The following is a 17,461-nucleotide window of genomic DNA, read 5'->3' as shown; positions in this document are numbered from 1 at the left end:
TTTAAAATATAAATAAAATGGATATATTCCTTGAAAAATACTTCAAGTAAAGGAACAGAATAGAGAATTTGAATAATCTCCAACTATTTTAAAAGTTAAATATATAATTTAGAATGTTACAATAAAGAAAACTCCAGGCTCAGATGGCTTCTAAGAAACATTCAAGGAAGAAATGGTAATCTTACACAAACCCTTTAAGAGTAGGGGAAAAACAGCTACCATTTGCCAACTCATATTAAGAGGCCAGAACAACTCTAATACAAAAGCTGAGAGGAAACTCCAATAAAGGAAAATTTCAGGCTAGTCTCATTCAAGAATTTAGATGCAAATATCCTGAAAATAAGATTAGCAGATTTACCCACTAACACTGAAATGACATGTGGGTGACGAACTCAGTCTCAGCTGGACAGCCAGAGCCACATTTTACCCACTCTTTTCTTCCTGAACTTCAGAAGATAGTCTATATTCAGTTTTTGGCAACTTTGTTAATAAACTGATATTGCCAAACCACATCTAGTAATATATAAAAAGGATAATCCATGTTGGACACATTCCAGAATGTAAGCTTGGGTTAAGATTTGAAAATCAATGCAATTCATCACATTAACAGAGTAAGAGAATCACATAATTATTTCAATTGATTTCAATAGATGATGTTAATAAAATTTAAATCAAATATATGCTAAAAACTCTTAGCAAACAAGGACTAGAAAGGAATTTTCTGAATCTGAAAAAAGATATCCCCCAAAAGGACCTTCAGCAAATATCATGCCTAATGGTGAAACACTGAAGCTTTCCCTCTGACACTGGGACCAAGACAAGGTGTATGAGCCCCCTAGGGCTGCTGTAACAAAGTGCCACAAACTGGGTGACTTCAAACAAGAGAAATGCATTGTCTCACAGTTCTGGAAACTAGCAGCTGAGATCAAGGTGTTGGCAAGGCCATGCTGTCTTTGAAGGCTCTAGGGGCAAATCCTTCCTTGCCTCTTCCTAGCTTCTGGGGGTTGCCAGCAATCTTTGGCATCCCTTGTCTTGTAGATACAGCACTCCAATCTCTGCCTCCATCCTCATATGGTGTTCTCTGTGCGTGTGTCTGTGTCTGTTCCCTTTTTATGAGGACACAAGTCATATTAGAGTAGGGCAAACCCTACTCCAGTATGATTTCATCTTAACTTGATTACGTCTGCAAAGGCAGTCCAAATAAGGTCACATTCACAGATACCAAGGTTTAGGACTTCAATATATCTTTTTGGAGGATAATTCAGTCTACAATACAAGGACTCCCACTGTTGCCACTTCCTTTTGTACTGCAGATCCCAGCCAGTGTAAAAAGGCCAAAAAAGAAATACAAAATGTAAAGATTAGAAAAGAAGAAATAAAACTGTCATTATTCATGGATGACATAATTGTCTATGGAGAAAATCCTAAACAATTCACAGATAAATTATTAGAATATGTTTAACAAGGTTGGTATATACAAAGTTAATATATAAATTAATTTTACTACAATACATGACAATAGCATAAAAAAACACTTAGAAATCAAACTAATAAAATACGTGTAAGACCTCTGGGCAGAAAGCTATAAAATCTTATTGAGAGAAACCAAAGAAGACTTAAATATGCTATGTTCATGAATTAGAAGACTCAATATTGTAAATTTGCCAAGTCTTAAATGGTCTACAGATGCAGTGCAATCCCCATCAAAATCTCAGTGTGTGGAAACTGACAGGCTGATTCTCAAGTTATATGGACATGGAAAAGCTCAAGAACAGCCAAGAATTTGTTGAACAAAGCTAAGAGGGTATGTATTACTGAATATGAAGAGTTATTATAAAGCTATTTTAATGAAGACAATGTAGTATTGGCACAAAGACAGACAAATAGGCCAATGGGACAGATAGGGTGCCCACAAACACACCTATGCATACATGGGCACTTGCTCTGTGACAGAAGAACAGTATGGAGCGGTGAGTTAAAGGGGAGAATTTTCAATAAACTGTACTGAAATAAATGAATATTCTTATGAAAAAAATGAATTTGCTTCCTACTTTGTATTAGCCACCAAAATAGTTATATGCAAAAATATAGATGAATTTCACAAAAATTTAAGCAAAAAGAAATACATACGGTAATACCCTATTCAAATAAAATTAAAACAAAATTAAACTATAGTACAAGAAAAGTCAGGATTGCAGTTAATTTGGGCAGAAAAAAGTGTTTGTAACTGGCAGAGGGTATAAGAGGAGTTTCTAGGGAGCTGGGAAAGATTTCATTTCTTTGCCTAGAGGGTGAGATGGTGGTAGCATAAAAAGTAGTTGGACACATTCATTCATTCAACAAATAGTTATTGAGAAATCACTATATATCAGGCATTGCACTAGATCTGGGTCATCAAAGGGGAATAAATATAGGCCTGATCCCTGCCCTGGCCCTGCTTACTTCTGATAGCAGACAGACAAAAACAATTAATGAACACAGATAAATATATACAATCACCTCACAGTCACCTCGTAGGGTAAGTGCTCTGAGAGATACCCTTGTCTTGCTACACAAGGGGGACTCTTTCCTTATTGGGGGTGGGGATGAAGAGGAAAGCCATTAGGTCTTTCACTGGACTGAATCATAAAAATAGCTCAGAATTGCATTTCTCCTTTTTCTCACCCCAAAGAAGTAGTGGTTACTCCTTTTATCTCTAATGGTTCCAATGTCATTTTAGATCTACACTTAGGTACACCTAGGAATCCCATCTGACATTTAGAAATTCCATCTCTTAATCCGAGGAAAATCTTGGCTTGAAAGTAATGGCACCAGCCCCTTAAAATGGCACCTATGTGCGAATACCACTAATTTTTAGTTAATTTTAGGGCTGTTACTCTAAAACAAAAAAGTTCTTTTGAAATTCTAATTCAAAAAGCAATGAGTTTTAAAATAACCCTTTCCATGTTATAAAATACTTATATGCTCATTGTAGAACATCTGGGAAATCAGAAAACTGTAAAAAAAATTTTTTTAAACCCTCAAAAATCCATAAGTCTATCAATAGCTATCAATTCTATCTATAGCTACTGTAAACGTTGTGGTACATCTCTTTCAATATTTAAGTGCCTTGATATATTTATTTTCACGGTTGAGATCAGAATTTGTGGTTTTGCAACCCGAATTTTCCATTTAAAAATATAATAAGAACTTACTTCCCCAGTCATTAATCTTCCTAAACATAATTCTTAAGTTTGTAAAAAATCCATCCTACAGATACACCTAAAAGTCAGTTTATTTACTTTGTTTCCCCAGGAAAGAATCCTACATGACCATGGTTCTGGGCCTGTGTAAGTGCTGCCTTGTGAACAGTGTAGATAAGATCACAGAATCATCCTCCAAATAAAGTACTTAAAGCCAATGTAAAAGTTTTTCGAAGGCAAAGGGGCACTGTGAATCCAGCATTTTCCAGTGTTCCCTAGACGTGAATCATCTCAAAGAGAGGCCATTATTCGAGTGCAACAGGGCTCCACGCCTCCAGCGATGTCAAAGTTCTGCTAAGCGTCCAAAACCTAGCAAAAGGTTCCAATGGGCCATTGGAACTCGGCGGCCGCGGCGGAGGCTGCTCCCAAGGCGGCAGCAATCACACCGGGACCGGCTGCAGAGTTCCCAGTCCCGCGGAGCGCTAGCTGCCGGGCGGACGCGGAAGCCCGAGAGTCCTGGTCTTCCCGTCCAAGTTTAATCCGCGCCTACGCGGTAAATTCCTGGAGGTGCTCCCAGCCTAGCCCGCTGCGCCCGGCTCCGCGCCTGGGCAACCCGGGCTCCCTCCCGTCCCTGGCGCCCTCCGCACCCGCCTAAGGCGCGGCGGTCGAGCCCTGGCTGCGCCCTGTGGGCGCGCTCCTCCGAATCCCAAGTTCGGGTCGCGAGTCTGAACTTGGGAGGAACGCGCCCCGGGTCCCCGCCCTTCCCGGACTGCCCGATCCCCATCCCCCGCAACCGGGAGCGCGCAGGCGCAGCCGGCCGGCAGTCCCGTCAGCTGTCCCAGAGCCTGTGTCGCGCCCGTGCCGGTAGCGCCCGTGCCGGTAGCGCCGCTGCCACCGCTCACCATGGGCCCGGGTCCTCGGCTGCTGCTACCTCTCGTGCTTTGCGTGGGGCTCGGCGCACTTGTGTTTTCTTCGGGGGCCGAGGGCTTCCGCAAGCGAGGCCCCTCGGTGACGGCCAAGGTGACCGAGAGCGGCGGGCTGCAACTTCCCCTGTTGCGGGCGGGGCCCTGGGGGCGCTTTGGATACTGGGACCTCGGTGTCAGGGCGGGCGAGGTGGAGGCTTCCCGGGCGCAGGGGGACTGGAGGCGGCCGCGGGACTGGGTGGGAGGGGGCTGCTCGCGTGCTGGGAGGCCGGCGCTCCGGGGGAGACCCTGGGGGAGCTGGGCTGAGGCCAGCCTACCTCCGCCGCAGTCTGCTTGGACTTCTTGTCCCGGGTCGGTAGTCCGAGGTGACCAGCCTGGGGGTAGGAGAGGCTTCCGGAACCGGCGGGCCCGTTCTCCAGGAAAGAGACTGCCCAAGTACTTCCTTCAGCGTGGCCTGGGCTCGGGAGCAGAACGAGAGGAATGCGGGGAGGGGGGCGGGACCCGCACAGGAGAGGCGCTCGGAGCCCAGGGCTTGCAGCCGCCCGCCCGCTGCGTGGTCTCCACGCTGGCCGCGGTGGCTTCAGGCAGGCATTAAAGCGCCTGGTTCAGATGAGAGACTACCCTCCGCCTCTTTTGGGGAACCGTCGTCCTTCCCGGGAAGGGGAGGTGCGCCTTCAACTTCGGCGGGCGGGCGGCCCCTGCTGTGGGCTACGCGAGGCCGGGCGAAGGCGGCACCTGTAGACCTGGGGCAGCCTCCACTGCGGGGAAAGGGGGCGGGGGGCTGCCAGAAAGTGCGTCTTTAAGGCTTCCTCGTACTTAACTCCGCTTCAGTTCTTTTTTCAGCGTATTTAACCAAGGGTAGACGATAATGGGAGAATGCAGGGAGAGGGAGGGGATAATTTGGTGCCCATGATCACCACTTCTAGAAAACCCACTGGCAATAGTGTCTTCGAAGCTGAAGCTGGAGGGGGCGGGCTGCAGCTGAAAGTGGTCTTCATCAGTCTGGGGTTTGTCAATGGAAACGATACTAATCAACGAGTAGAATGCTTACATCCTCGACCGCAGACGCCACCTGAGGACGGGGAGGACTAGGGGGTGGGGAGGAGGAGGTCCAGCTCAGCATCTGATGTCGCAGAAAGGCCGTGCCACGTTGTGGGCGGGGCTGATAAACAGCCTGATGGTTTCGAGAAGCTCTGATCTTACTCCCAGCCTCTTGATCTTGTAGGCATGTCTAACTTTGGGAAATGGTTTGTGCAAGGCCACAGAGCTGAACGGGGTCTCTTGGGATAAAGCCATAAACATAAAATTCGCACAATTATGAAATGTTGGAGGAAATAAACTGTAATATACTTTGGGTGACATTTAAAAATAGCTGAAAAATGAGAAAAACCAGCGCAGAGAAGACTAAGGAGGCAAAGGGAACTGCATATGCATAGGTCCTCAAACAGGAAAGCCCTCCCTGCATTCAGAGGATGTGGAGAGGACGGAATGGCTTCAGCACAGAATGAGAGGTGACTTGAGATGAGGTTGGAGGGGTGAGCAGCAGCGGAATCACACAGGGCCTTAGAGGCTGCAGGTAGGCATGCGGGTATTGAGGCAATTCTTAAAATTTGAAGTGTTATTCTGCAGTCAGAGCCACTGAAGGGTTTTAAGCATAAGAATGGCATGATCTCAATATATACTCGAGAAATTTATGTGGTCACTCAGTGGAGAGTGAAATGGGAGGTCATTCAGGGCACCATGCCAGAGTCCAGATGGTGGCTTGGATTAGGGTGGTAATCATTGAAATGGGGAGCAAGGGAAGGACTTGAAATAGATTTTGGAGATATAACTAACAGGAGTTGCTGACGGTTTAGAAAGGGGGCGAGGGAGAGGGAATAGGATTGCCAAATAAAATACAGGATGCCCAGTTAGATGTGAATATCAGATTAACAATGAATAAATGTTTTTAGTGTAAGTACGTCCCCTGCAATATTTGGGAACAGGTTTCACCTGGGAAACTTCTTAAACTTACTGATGCAGTGACCCACCCCAGAGCAAGTCAATCACAATCTGTATGGGTGGGGCTCAGTATCCTATCTTTTAGAAGCTTTTGGTGATTCTGATGTGCAGGCAGTGTGGGCGGGGAACCACTGGAAGATGGAGCCAAGAGAGGAGGAAGCTGGTGGCTGCAGGAGGGGAAGGGTTTGAGCATCCTAAACCCTTGTCTGTGACACTGTCACTGAGGGAGAGTTTGCATGCACCCTACTCTCAGAATTGTTACTTAACATGTCTTTTTTCCCCCTACCAAATTTGTCATTAAGTTTTTCTAAAAGCTGATTGTGTAGGTGCGTCTTAAACAGATTCTGCTCTGTTAAATTACTTTTTCATGAACTTGTAAAGACAACTAAATCTATTGGAAAATGACGTTAAAAATAATTTCTCTGAGTGCAGACAAGTACATTAATTGGCCATTGCTCTAGTGTATTGTTTTCCCCAGCAGTGTTTTTGTTTACCTCTGATTTCATTTAAAAATAGGAATCTGTAAATAAGAGAGGTGTGAGGTGCTATTCTGCCCACATGGCCCATTAGTGGCACTAACTTGGTCCACAGATCCTGCTGCTGGGCCAGCCTGGCAGCTTCCTGCCCCAGCCATAGAGGCTCAGGTGGGGGCTCTGGCTCATTGGGCTCCAAATCCACAGAATTACATTTGCTGACCTATATTTCTGAACCAATGCCATGGGATCTGTGCAGGATCCGGCATCGGGAGTGTATGAAATAATGCCACCATCCTTCCAGCTGCACACATATTACAGCTTGCAAGCACATTAGCATGTAGTGGCCAGGAGGCTGTGGCTAGATGGCCTTAGACAAGTTATCTAATGTCCACAGCTCAGTTTCCTCCTTTGTCAAATGGAGATAGAAATCATCCCTACCTGGGAGGGCTTTGCACATTAGATGTGGTAAAGCAGATGTCTTAGTCCATTTATGTTGCTATAAAAGAATACTTGAGGCTGGGCAATTTATGAAGAAAAAAGGTTTATTTAGCTCACGGCTCTGCTATGAGCTGTAAGATTCAAGACTGGGCATCTGGTGACAGCCTCAGGCTGCTTCCAGTCACGGCGGCGGAAGGTGATAGGGAGCAGGCAGGTGCAGATCACGTGGAGAGAGAGGAAGCTGAAGGGGGTGGTGCCAGCTTCCTTTTAAAACCAGTTCTCATGGGAACTAACAAAGTGAGAACCCATTCACTACTGAGATGGCACCAAGCCATTCATGAGGGATCTACACCCATGACTCAAACACCTCGCATTAGGCCCCACCTCCAACATTAGGATCAAATATCCAAACCATAGCAGCAGGTAAAGCACATAGTCCATAGTCCCTGATTTCAGAAGTCACTTGTTAGTGTTATTTGTGTTTATCTTCTTAATCCTACTGTGACAGAGCAGACCTGAAAGGAATCATCATTTATTTTACAGATGAAGAAAGGGAGTTCAGAGTTTAATTAACTTGCTGAAGTTTCCATGGCCATTGAGTGGTGGAGCTGCATTTGAGAACAGTTTCTTCCACATCGCAGCTCATGTACTGGGTGTGTTCCCTAGTTACTTTGGAAATGGAATCAGGATTAATTCCACAGGGGTTTGGGTCAGGCTGTGTAAGTGCCTCCTCCCTCTTCCTCTACCTCCTCCCATCTCCAATGCCGAGTAATTTTCAAATGACTTTCAAGGGCAGCCTTGAGGGAAAAAACAAGTGACTGAGGTGCTCACCCCAAAGTCTAGCATGGAATCCAATATCACCTTTCCCAGGAAGCCCACACTTATCTCCACAGATAATCACCACCCCTTACCATGACACCTTATCTGTACTTGTCTTATAAAATCTGACTTCTCATTATATTATAGCATTCATATATGTGTTTTCTGTTGGACTGAAGCTCCTTGAGGGTAGGAGCTTTGTAGCCCCACCCCACCCCTGGCCCAGCACTGGGTTTTGTTCCCAGAGGCACTCAGCAACATCAGAGATGAATCCAGTGGTGAGAGGGTTTAGAGTGAGAGTGTTTGCTGGCAGCTGTCTCACCTCCTGTCTAGGAATGTGTGTGCCCAGGTCCTCCTTGAGTATCATTTGACATTGAATCTTTTAACATTTCTTGACTGCCTCCTCCTGCTGACCTTTAGCTGGCCACTGGGGAACTAAAAACACTGTTTCTACTCCTTAGGGTTTCCCTGGCTCGACCCGGAGAGCCCTATTAACAATAAACCAGTTTAGCTAGAGGCAGCCTTGAAATTCTGGCTCTCACACTCATAGTAGGGAAACCTTGGTAAATCACTTAACCTCCCTAATTCCCACTTTTCTCATTTGTAAATTAGTGATAATAGTTCCTGTCCCACCTTTCCCAGTGTGGTGAGGATGAATTATATAAGATGATGTGGGTTACCCACACTGAGACCACCACTAAGTCATGTTTGCTTCCTTCCCTCTTTCTTCCTGCTCCTCCTCCAGTGTCTGCCCCTTTGTTTAAACGCCTCTCCTGGCTGGGCGCTGTGGCTCATGCCTGTAATCCCAGCACTTTGGGAGGCCAAGATGGGCGGATCACTTACGGTCAGGAGTTCGAGACCAGCCTGGCCAATATGGCGAAACCCCGTCTCTAGTAAAAATACAAAAATTAGCCAGGTGTGGTGGTACACACCTGTAATCCCAGCTACTCTGGAGGCTGAGGCACAAGAGTCACTTGAACCTGGGAGGCAGGGGTTGCAGTGAGCCAAGATTGTGCCACTGCACTCCAGCCTAGACGACAGAATGAGATTCTGTCTCAGTAAATAAGTAAATAAATAAATGCCTTTTCTGTCTCCCTCGTACATTTCCTTCTGCCACCACCCCAGTGCAGGCCATTATGACCTTATTCTTCAACTGGTATAAGAGCCCCAGATTCTCTTTCTCTCCGTTTGAGTAACATTCCCAGAGCCTCGCTTGACCTTATTCTTTGTCTTCTCTCTTTTGCCTAACAAAACTCATGCTTACGTCAGCATCTCTCCTCTGCCTTCTGGAACTGGTGGGCAGCTTCTTTCCTGGCCCCCCACCCACTCTAACCCCTAGTTGTGGTCAGAAGGGCAGCTTTGCTTCTCTGCACACAGGTCACATTTCCTGCCTAGGTGCATTGGTTCCAGAAAGAAGTCTGCCAGGCAAGGCTCACCCCCATCCTTGTTTGGGGAGATGGCTCCCCTCCTCCCAGGCCTGCCTCCCTTCAAGCCTTCCTCCTTAGCCTCACCGTTCCTGCAGGCCTGGGCATACAGTGTTTGGGGGGCATTTGTCACACACTGCCCTGTACTGTGGTTATGGGTTTGCCTATCCTATCTCTTTATTTTAAACTGCCTTAGGACAGGGACTCTCTTATACAGTTTGTGCCCTCACATTGCCTTTTACATAACCTTGCATAAATACTTATTGACAAAATGAGATTGGATTTTATCCTTTCCAGTAGAGTTGGCAAAACCTGCTGTGTGTTCTTATGCTCACTCATGAAGCTGAAGGATATTTCAATTTGGGGAAAAAAATTATAATAATATGTGTGCTAGGCTGTGTGTAAAAATATGTGATTTTTGCTGAAGAGTTATGTTGGGTGACAGGTACTTTTTCTTCATCTGCTCATGCTGCTCTCCCAGATCTTATTCCCTTCCTAAACATTCACAGGCTTTGTTTTCTCTTCTTTATTTTAAAAGTCTGGAAGGCTCTTCTAGTGTCTCGTATGATGTTTCTTTAAGGTTTCATCTCTGGCTTCCGGGTGCTGCTTCGTTATTGCTGGTTATTGAATTTACACCTTGGCTTGCAAATCCCTTTGGAGAAACTGCTTCTCTTGTAAGCCGGCTCTGCACTGACCAGGCCCATGGGTGTGTTGAAGCACCTTCCTATCCCAAGCCATGCTGAATTGCACTCCTTTAATACACTGCCCCTTCTCATGCATTCTATAAAGCTCTTCTATATAAGTAATAATAAAAGTTTTGCTGCTTTGGCCATGTAAAAATTGTAAAATGCCACATGGAACACTAAATATCACATCACCCTGTGACAGATGTACTGATGTATTGGCAGAAGCTCTTGACTTGAACTGAAGCTTGACAGTCTTTACTTACTGATTTTTCTAAACTGTAAGACATCTTTTTTCTTTGACAACCGTTCTTATATTTTTTAAAGCCATCTCTTGAATGTCTTTTTTACCCATTCAAACAGTAAATTGGTTCATATAATCTAAACGCGCTAATAGAATGCCCTTTGACTCTGTGGCCTTTTCAAGCGTTCTATTTCAGAATCATCTTAACACAGTGATTTGTGAAGCAAAATGCATATAATTTTGTTTCAGATGAGACAGTTAAAAACAAGTCCAAGAGAACTTTTATGGTTTTACCTGCAAAAGGTGGATTCACACTCACTCCTGGCTATGTGTCTTCTTTTTCCTGTTGTAAAATGTTGGGTTAGGAAAAGCAAATTCTACTTGGGTAACTTGGGAACAAGAGGACTGAATTCAGTGTCTGAGTTTACAGGGTGACGGCTTTGTCAGCGTGATGACCCACGCTTAATGTTTGCTGTCCTTTGGAAAGCTGGGGACCTGGTGCTTTATTGTGCTTGGACATGAGTGGCAGGCCTTTTGAAGGACTGCTGTGTTTCATCATTTTTGCCATCTCCTGGATGGCAGACATCTATTGAGAACTCATTGCAAATTTAGGACTGTTTGAAATTTAAAAAAATAAATTTTGATGGTTAGCCTGTTTCCTCACAACTTTTTTCTTTTGTCCTGCCAAGATTAGAGAGCATTACTTTCTAAGAGAGCAATATTTTCCATTCTACTCTTCATCCATAAAGCCAGGAAATGGGAAGTAGCAGCAGCGTTTGTCTGGGGTATGGGAAGAGAAGAATTATTGAAGACTTCATTGGCCAACACTGACAGAGTTGAGTCAGCCTTTAAACTCAATACCTGGTACAGTGCCTGGCCCATGGGTGGTGCTTAATAAATGTTTCTTGAAAGAATATTTGTGAGTGAAATGCACCCACACAATAGTTTTAAAGTACCTTTAATTGATGTCATGCTCCTTTACAAAATACTGATGGGCAGGGCTTTTGTATGTGGGTCAATTCTCAGATTTTAATTTTGACTTACCTTGTATTTGTGCTTTTCCACCTTATAACCTTCCACTTTGCCTTTCAACTGCACACAGGTCTTCTTTGATGTGAGGATTGGAGACAAAGATGTTGGCAGAATTGTGATTGGCCTCTTTGGAAAAGTTGTGCCCAAGACAGTGGAAAATTTTGTTGCTCTAGCAACAGGAGAGGTATGTCTCAATTTTATTTCCTTTAAATTGGGTCTTCTTTCTTTGAAGCCAAATATAAAGATGTCATCTGAGAAAATAAGTATTAAATTAGTATGTCAGATGAACCTTACCACATTTGACTTTATTTTCCAATTAAATATGTATTATTTGGGCACTCAGTGCCCTTAGGCTTCTGGAAATTGGGAGAAAATCATCATCAAGTGAAAATATGGTTTGCTCTCTTTTAACTTATTCACATTAATACTCTACTTCCATAACATATTTATTTTTTGGTCAGCTAATGATAAATTTCTCTCAGTAAACCATAGCTGGGATAGAATCAAGTTCTGTAGGCATTTTGTTTAATTTTCTCAGTTTGTCCTTTCTAGATCAACACTGAGTTTATCTTTCAGTATGGCCTCTGTTACTTGTTATTCAACTGAAGTAATCTCTTTAGAAAGGATATGGATATAAAGGAAGCAAGTTTCATCGTGTCATCAAGGATTTCATGATTCAAGGAGGTGACATCACCACTGGAGATGGCACTGGGGGTAACGTCTTTGCATTTTTCCTTTCCCATTTACCAAACCGAAATCTAAGGTTAAGCCAGTATATGAACCCAGTCTGTTGAAATCCAGAGCTAAGGAACACAGTTGTAAAGACGACTGTACCTCTTTGAGAAGGATGGAGTTTTGGGGACTCATCTAGCAGCATCTCGACAGGTATGAGGGAGGCGTCCTTATTTTAAGCAGGATTGTTTTGGTGTTTATTGTCTTTCCGTAATTGAGATGTATTCATTTTGCAGTTATTAAAATACCAGACTACTAGTCAGTAGCCATACAGAAAAATATCTTTCATAGGAAGGAAAAGGTGTGGAACATGAAGCTGCGTTCCCCTGGGATGGCAGCGTGCGGCAGAGGTGGGCGTTGCAGGAGGAAGACGGGCCTCATGCCAGGAGATTGAGACTAGAGTTAGCAGCAGGGTCACAGCGCACTTTCCTCCTTCTTTCAAAATCTTTCATCATATTGACAAAACAGTGAAAAACAAGTCCAAGAGAACTTTTAAGATTTAACCTGCAAAAAAGTGACTCACACTCCTGGCTATGTGTTTTCATTTTTCTGTTCTAAAATGTTGGGTTACAGAAAGTGAGTTCTACTTGGGAAACTTGGGAACAGGAGGACTGAATCCAGTGTCTGAGTTTACAGGGTGGTGGTTTCGTCAGGACCCAAGCTTACTATTTGCTGTCCTTTGGACAAAGCTGGGAACCAATACTTTTTTAAAGTTAAAGCAATAGCTGAGTTGTCAAAATTGTAATAGAAACAAACTCTTACAAACAAAGTTGGAGTTCAATAAAGTAGAGATAGTTAAATTTAGAGAGTTTCAAATCTCCTTCAGCTTATTGTTTCTCATTCAGGATTATAGCTATCCAGCTCCATACACTGTTTTCTCTTAAAAGTTTAGTTCTTTTCTTGAACATACACCATATATGTAACTCCAAATAATTTAAATTTACTTTAGATTTAAGATTTTTAATTCAACAAATACTGGTTTCGGTGGATATTTGTTGTCCATTTTTAAAGCAACAGGCCATTTTCAAGCACTATTTCTAATTTTATGTTTATTGCAATGGTTTGTTTATAACCAAAAATGGCTACTATTAAGTGCTTTGATTTGCCAGGCACTTTGTGAAGATTACTTCTAGTTCTTGCAAGAATGCTGAGGGGTATGGGGATGTAGACTGGAGTGGAGGAAGGCATTTAGGTTGCCCCAGGCAATGGGATTTGCTGAGGACGCTCGTGGATCTCATTGGAAAACCCTGCAGCGCTGGTGCCCGTGCCCTCGGTGCTGGCATCCCACCTTCCTGCCATAGGAATGGTGCTGGCAGGAATGGTGACTGAGCTTCACTCTGCCCTCTTTTCTGCTACCTTTTTTTTCTCACTACCTTCCCTGCCCAGTGTGCATCTTGCATTAAAATTCTCTGAATTTTGGACAGACAATGTTTTGGGCAATTTAAATATAGTGTAGACCCTTCTGTAGGAGCACTCTCCTACAAGGCCACTTCAAGTGTCACTGACCAACCAGTTATAAATTGCTTGGCTTTGATATCCACTTCTGGGCTTTTTTTTTCTTTTGAGACACAGTCTCACTCTGTCACCCAGGCTGGAGTGCAATGGCATGATCTTGGCTCACTACAACCTCTGCCTCCCAGGTTCAAGCGATTCTCCTGCCTCAGACTCCCAAGTAGCTGGGATTGCAGGCGCCCGCCACCATGCCCGGCTGATTTTTTGTATTTTTAGTAGAGATAGGGTTTCACCGTGTTAGCCAGGATGGTCTCAATCTCCTGGCCTTGCGATCTGCCCGCCTCAGCCTCCCAAAGTGCTGGGATTACAGGTGTGAGCCACTGCACCCAGCCTACTTCTGGGTTTTCTAACTGAATCAGAATTTTGAAGTTGGCAACTGATAGATAAGGGGCCCTACAGAAGGGGAGGTGGGCCTGGTAGACCCTTGAGGTATTGGAGGATGGTCAGATCCTTCTTATGGTCTGTGGAGAAAGGTCTTCCACTCTGCCTGCCGCTTTGCTAGAACTCCAGACTTCCTGCCTTGCTTTGGTTCTCCTGTTCAAGGTTGACCACTGGGTGCTCCCAATTGTCATCATCCTCTGTGTCCTGATGGGTCCTGAAGTTGCTGTGACCAACAACTTCCAGATCAGCTGCTATTGCTCTTGGTGCTGAGGCAAGAAAAAGCACCAGCTTTAGAATCAGAAAGTCAGATGTTCAAATTCTGCTCTGCTATTTTCAAGTTTTGTAACCTCTGTTTCCCATTGTAAAATAGGACGGAGAATACCTACTCTTCAGGGTTGTTATGAGAATTCGGTGTGGGTATATATTGAATGCTTGGTGCATCCTGGTTGGGTGCTGAGTAACACCCAATCCTGGATAAGTCACAGGACTGTCCTGAGCTTTGAGCCTCAGGAAACAGGTGCACAGCCACTAGGATGGCTCAAACACCTTTTCATCTGGCTTTAGGATGTTTTCCTGCCCTTCAGTTCCTTCTCACTTCAGAGCGAAGTCATGGACCTGCTTGATCAAGGTTTGGCCCTTGGTATGAGGCCAGAGAGTATCCCACTATCCTGTGCCATATTTAAGGCTTTCTTTGTTCATTTTAGGCCCTAGTGCCCTGTTCCCTTAAGGAGTTAATTTTATTCCCTCCTTCATGTCTGCTTATGTTTGAACATGTCTTCCCCATCCCTACCTCCTATAGGGTTCTAGTAATTGATTCCTCTAAGGCCTTATGTTTCCCTTTGAAGAGCTGACTTTTGGAAGACATCTGTTGACTTTCTTCCTTGTTTTGTCTCAGGTGTGAGCATCTATGGTGAGACATTTCCAGATGAGAACTTCAAGCTGAAGCACTATGGCATTGGGTGGGTCAGCATGGCCAACGCTGGGCCTGACACCAATGGCTCTCAGTTCTTTATCACCTTGACCAAGCCCACCTGGTTGGACGGCAAACATGTGGTGTTTGGAAAAGTCATTGATGGGATGGTAAATTGATACATTTTTTTCCTTTCAAAGCTTTATATTTTTATTGAGAGTACTTTCAGTGATTTATTTTAATCTTAAAATATGCTTGTTAGAGATCCATTATATAGCTGACTGGCCTCTTCAAAGGTGAATAAATTATATATGGTATGGCATTTTAATTCTTAGGGTCATTGGCGCAGCAGCTAGGGACTTGACAAGGAGAAATTAAGGACTAAGTTGATTTATTTTACTACTTGATATAAATGTAAAGCCCTTTTTAATGGAACCAATATATACCAGGACCCCATATATACACACAATGGAATATTATTCAGTCTCCAAAAGGAAAGACATTCTGAGGACATTATGCTAAGTGAAATAAACCAGTCGTAGGAAGACAAATACTATATGACTTCATTTATATAAAATATCTAAAGTGGTCACATTGATAGAAACAGAAAGTAGAATGGTAGTTGCCAGGGGCTGGGGATGGGGTAAATGGGATGTTGTATTTAATAGGTATAAGGTTTTAGTTTTGCAAGATGAAAAATTCTGGCTATTGGTTGCACAACAATGTAAATATACTCAACACCACTGCACTGTGCACTTACAAATGAGTAAGATGGCACATTTTATGTTATGTATTTCTTACCAGAATTAAAAATAAAATAGTTGAAAACAAAGCAAAACAAAACCACCCCAGAATCCCATCTGGTTCAGCTCAGACACCTAGGTCACATTCACAGAGACACGCATCCAAAAATTATTGAAGAGAATTTGAATCTATACTGTTGGGTCTCAAAGAATGTCAAAGCAGTCCAATTCACAACCCGTAGGAACACTTCTTAAAACCCTCATTCCCTTTCTTTCTCAATATTTCTGCCTTACAGGTGCCTGAAGTAGCTCTCTCAGCTCCTAAACTGGTTACTGTAAAGTCTGTCCATCCCAGGCCTGGACCATCCTTGTCTCCCTTTCCCTCTTCCATGTTTCATTTTATTTTGTTTTCATGTGACTTATTCTACCTCCCTCATCCAAATGTAAATAAACCAGTCTTGCTCGCTGCAGTTCCTTCACAACTACCTGTTTTTCTGATTCTATCTAACACAAGTTTGGGAACTGAGCTAGTAGCCTCAATGCTGTCTGGGAAACCCACCAAAAACCTACTTTCTTGTTCCTTGCCCAGTCCTAACCTACTTCAGTGTGAAATACTGTACTGTTGGGCTTGTGAAGCCTTCCAGGGTAGAGAAAGGTGCCTTCACAGCACTGTGGGGGGCTGGGGTTACATTAGTATTGGGCTCAACTTATAGGTTAATGGCTTGGGTCACCTTTAAAATGGACAAACCTAGAACTAGGTCCATTTCTGAATCTGCTTTCTGGCCCATACATGTGAAGACCTATTACAGGATGGAGCTGAAACTGACTCAGACTTCATGTTAACTGTTACGCTGGCTTATACCAGGTGAATGGAAATGCCTTTTACTAGAGCTGGGTGTTTACAAAAATATCTACTTTTTTAGAATATAAAATGCTTATTTAAAAAGAAGTGAGGAAATATACCAGTGTGGTCTCTGAGTAAGAAGGTCATGGGTGAATTTTATTATGTGATGTATATATTTTCTAAATATTCTAAGTTTTCCACAGTTAGCGTGCATAAAAAACGCTTAGTAGTCATAAAAAACCAACCAACCAACCAACCTTATTTCCTTCCCACTTGGGCTTTTGGAGTTGGCTTTGGTTTAACCTTTGGATTGCTATAGCTGCTGGTCAGAATTAAACCATGTGTCTACTTTTCTCTCACCAGACAGTGGTGCACTCCATAGAGCTCCAAGCAACTGATGGGCATGACCGTCCACTCACCAACTGCTCGATCATCAACAGTGGCAAGATAGACGTGAAAACGCCTTTTGTGGTTGAGATCGCTGATTGGTGACACAACTGGCAGAAAACAAGGATATGCTTTGGCAGGGGTGTGTGTGTGTGTGTGTGTGTGTGTGTGTTGTGTTGTCTTTCAATTATTTGCTTTTTTTTTTTTACTTTCTTTTTGTATTCTATCCCAGATCACAGGAAAGTTATAAAAATCAAACCGTCACCCTTTAGTTTGCTTGAACTTTAGTAAACCACCTGCTTAGGGACTTTGAACTTAAATATATCCCCTTCCTCAAGTGGTGCTATTTTAAAACTAAAAAAAACTTTGAATTGGCTATTTTTTTAATGCAATATTTTTTTTCTGAATTCATTATGATCCCCATATTGGGTAATGCTGAACATTTATCTGAAACAGATGAGGATATTATTATTTTGTATCCAAACAGAAATTCAGATAAAGGGAAATTTGACTAGTGTAATCTGAGATATGTCATAGGGATTTCTTTCTGACAAAAGGGTGCTTTGCTGTTCTTTATATTAAATACTTTTAGATCAACTCTTTTTGCAAGACTTTTTAAAAATGTAAAGTTCTTTAAGAAATATACAAAAATACACACACTCTAGCATTAACAGTGAACAGATTAGAAAGATTTTATAAATCAAACTACAAACATAATTAGATAACTCAG

General features: G+C 43.3%; 2 protein-coding genes and 1 long non-coding RNA gene across 3 annotated transcripts in view, besides 3 other annotated features; 1 reads left to right on the top strand and 2 right to left on the bottom strand.

The window, feature by feature from the left end:
- Nucleotides 1–4,789, bottom strand: part of PPIC-AS1 (PPIC antisense RNA 1) — a 20,849-nt gene extending 16,060 nt beyond the window's left edge. Inside the window, exon 1 of the long non-coding RNA XR_001742868.2 lies at nt 4,423–4,789. This is a non-coding gene — a long non-coding RNA (PPIC antisense RNA 1). The remainder of the gene's footprint in view (nt 1–4,422) is intronic.
- Nucleotides 3,760–3,809: a silencer, noted in NCBI's record as "silent region_16272". NCBI's record gives its function as "represses an Ori minimal core promoter by ATAC-STARR-seq in GM12878 lymphoblastoid cells {active_cell/tissue: GM12878}" and the evidence as "EXISTENCE:reporter gene assay evidence [ECO:0000049][PMID:35858748]".
- PPIC (peptidylprolyl isomerase C) lies at nt 3,986–17,461 on the top strand. The gene is made up of 5 exons (NM_000943.5): nt 3,986–4,202; nt 11,293–11,406; nt 11,843–11,936; nt 14,743–14,927; nt 16,708–17,461. The coding sequence occupies exons 1-5, from the start codon at nt 4,086–4,088 to the stop codon at nt 16,834–16,836; spliced, it is 639 nt and encodes a 212-aa protein (NP_000934.1). The 5' UTR covers nt 3,986–4,085; the 3' UTR covers nt 16,837–17,461.
- Nucleotides 5,118–5,290: a silencer, noted in NCBI's record as "fragment chr5:122371116-122371288 (GRCh37/hg19 assembly coordinates)". NCBI's record gives its function as "represses an EF-1alpha promoter that drives an FKBP-Casp9 reporter gene in an ReSE screen in HepG2 liver carcinoma cells {active_cell/tissue: HepG2}" and the evidence as "EXISTENCE:reporter gene assay evidence [ECO:0000049][PMID:32094911]".
- Nucleotides 11,150–12,349: an enhancer, noted in NCBI's record as "CDK7 strongly-dependent group 2 enhancer chr5:122364057-122365256 (GRCh37/hg19 assembly coordinates)". NCBI's record gives its function as "activates an origin of replication core promoter dependent on BRD2, BRD4, P300/CBP, MED14 and CDK7 cofactors, with strong dependence on CDK7, by STARR-seq in HCT116 cells {active_cell/tissue: HCT116}" and the evidence as "EXISTENCE:reporter gene assay evidence [ECO:0000049][PMID:35650434]".
- The window catches only part of SNX24 (sorting nexin 24), a 183,706-nt gene continuing 177,637 nt past the window's right edge, over nt 11,393–17,461 (bottom strand). The window contains exon 5 of the mRNA XM_017009395.2: nt 11,393–11,473. Within this exon, the coding sequence (XP_016864884.1) occupies nt 11,429–11,473 (45 nt within the window). The 3' untranslated portion in view covers nt 11,393–11,428. The remainder of the gene's footprint in view (nt 11,474–17,461) is intronic.

This window comes from Homo sapiens, chromosome 5, assembly GCF_000001405.40.
Source record: "Homo sapiens chromosome 5, GRCh38.p14 Primary Assembly".
NCBI lineage: Eukaryota > Metazoa > Chordata > Mammalia > Primates > Hominidae > Homo > Homo sapiens.
Note: the sequence above shows the minus strand (reverse complement) of the source record. Positions and strands in the feature narration are given on the sequence as shown.

Bases quoted from the DNA above. Each gene is read 5' to 3' on its own strand.
- PPIC (NM_000943.5), top strand. From the start codon at position 4,086: ATGGGCCCGGGTCCTCGGCTGCTGCTACCTCTCGTGCTTTGCGTGGGG. The intron at 11,407-11,842 runs GTATGTCTCAAT...TAATCTCTTTAG, and splicing joins TTGCTCTAGCAACAGGAGAG to AAAGGATATGGATATAAAGG. The intron at 14,928-16,707 runs GTAAATTGATAC...TTCTCTCACCAG, and splicing joins GAAAAGTCATTGATGGGATG to ACAGTGGTGCACTCCATAGA.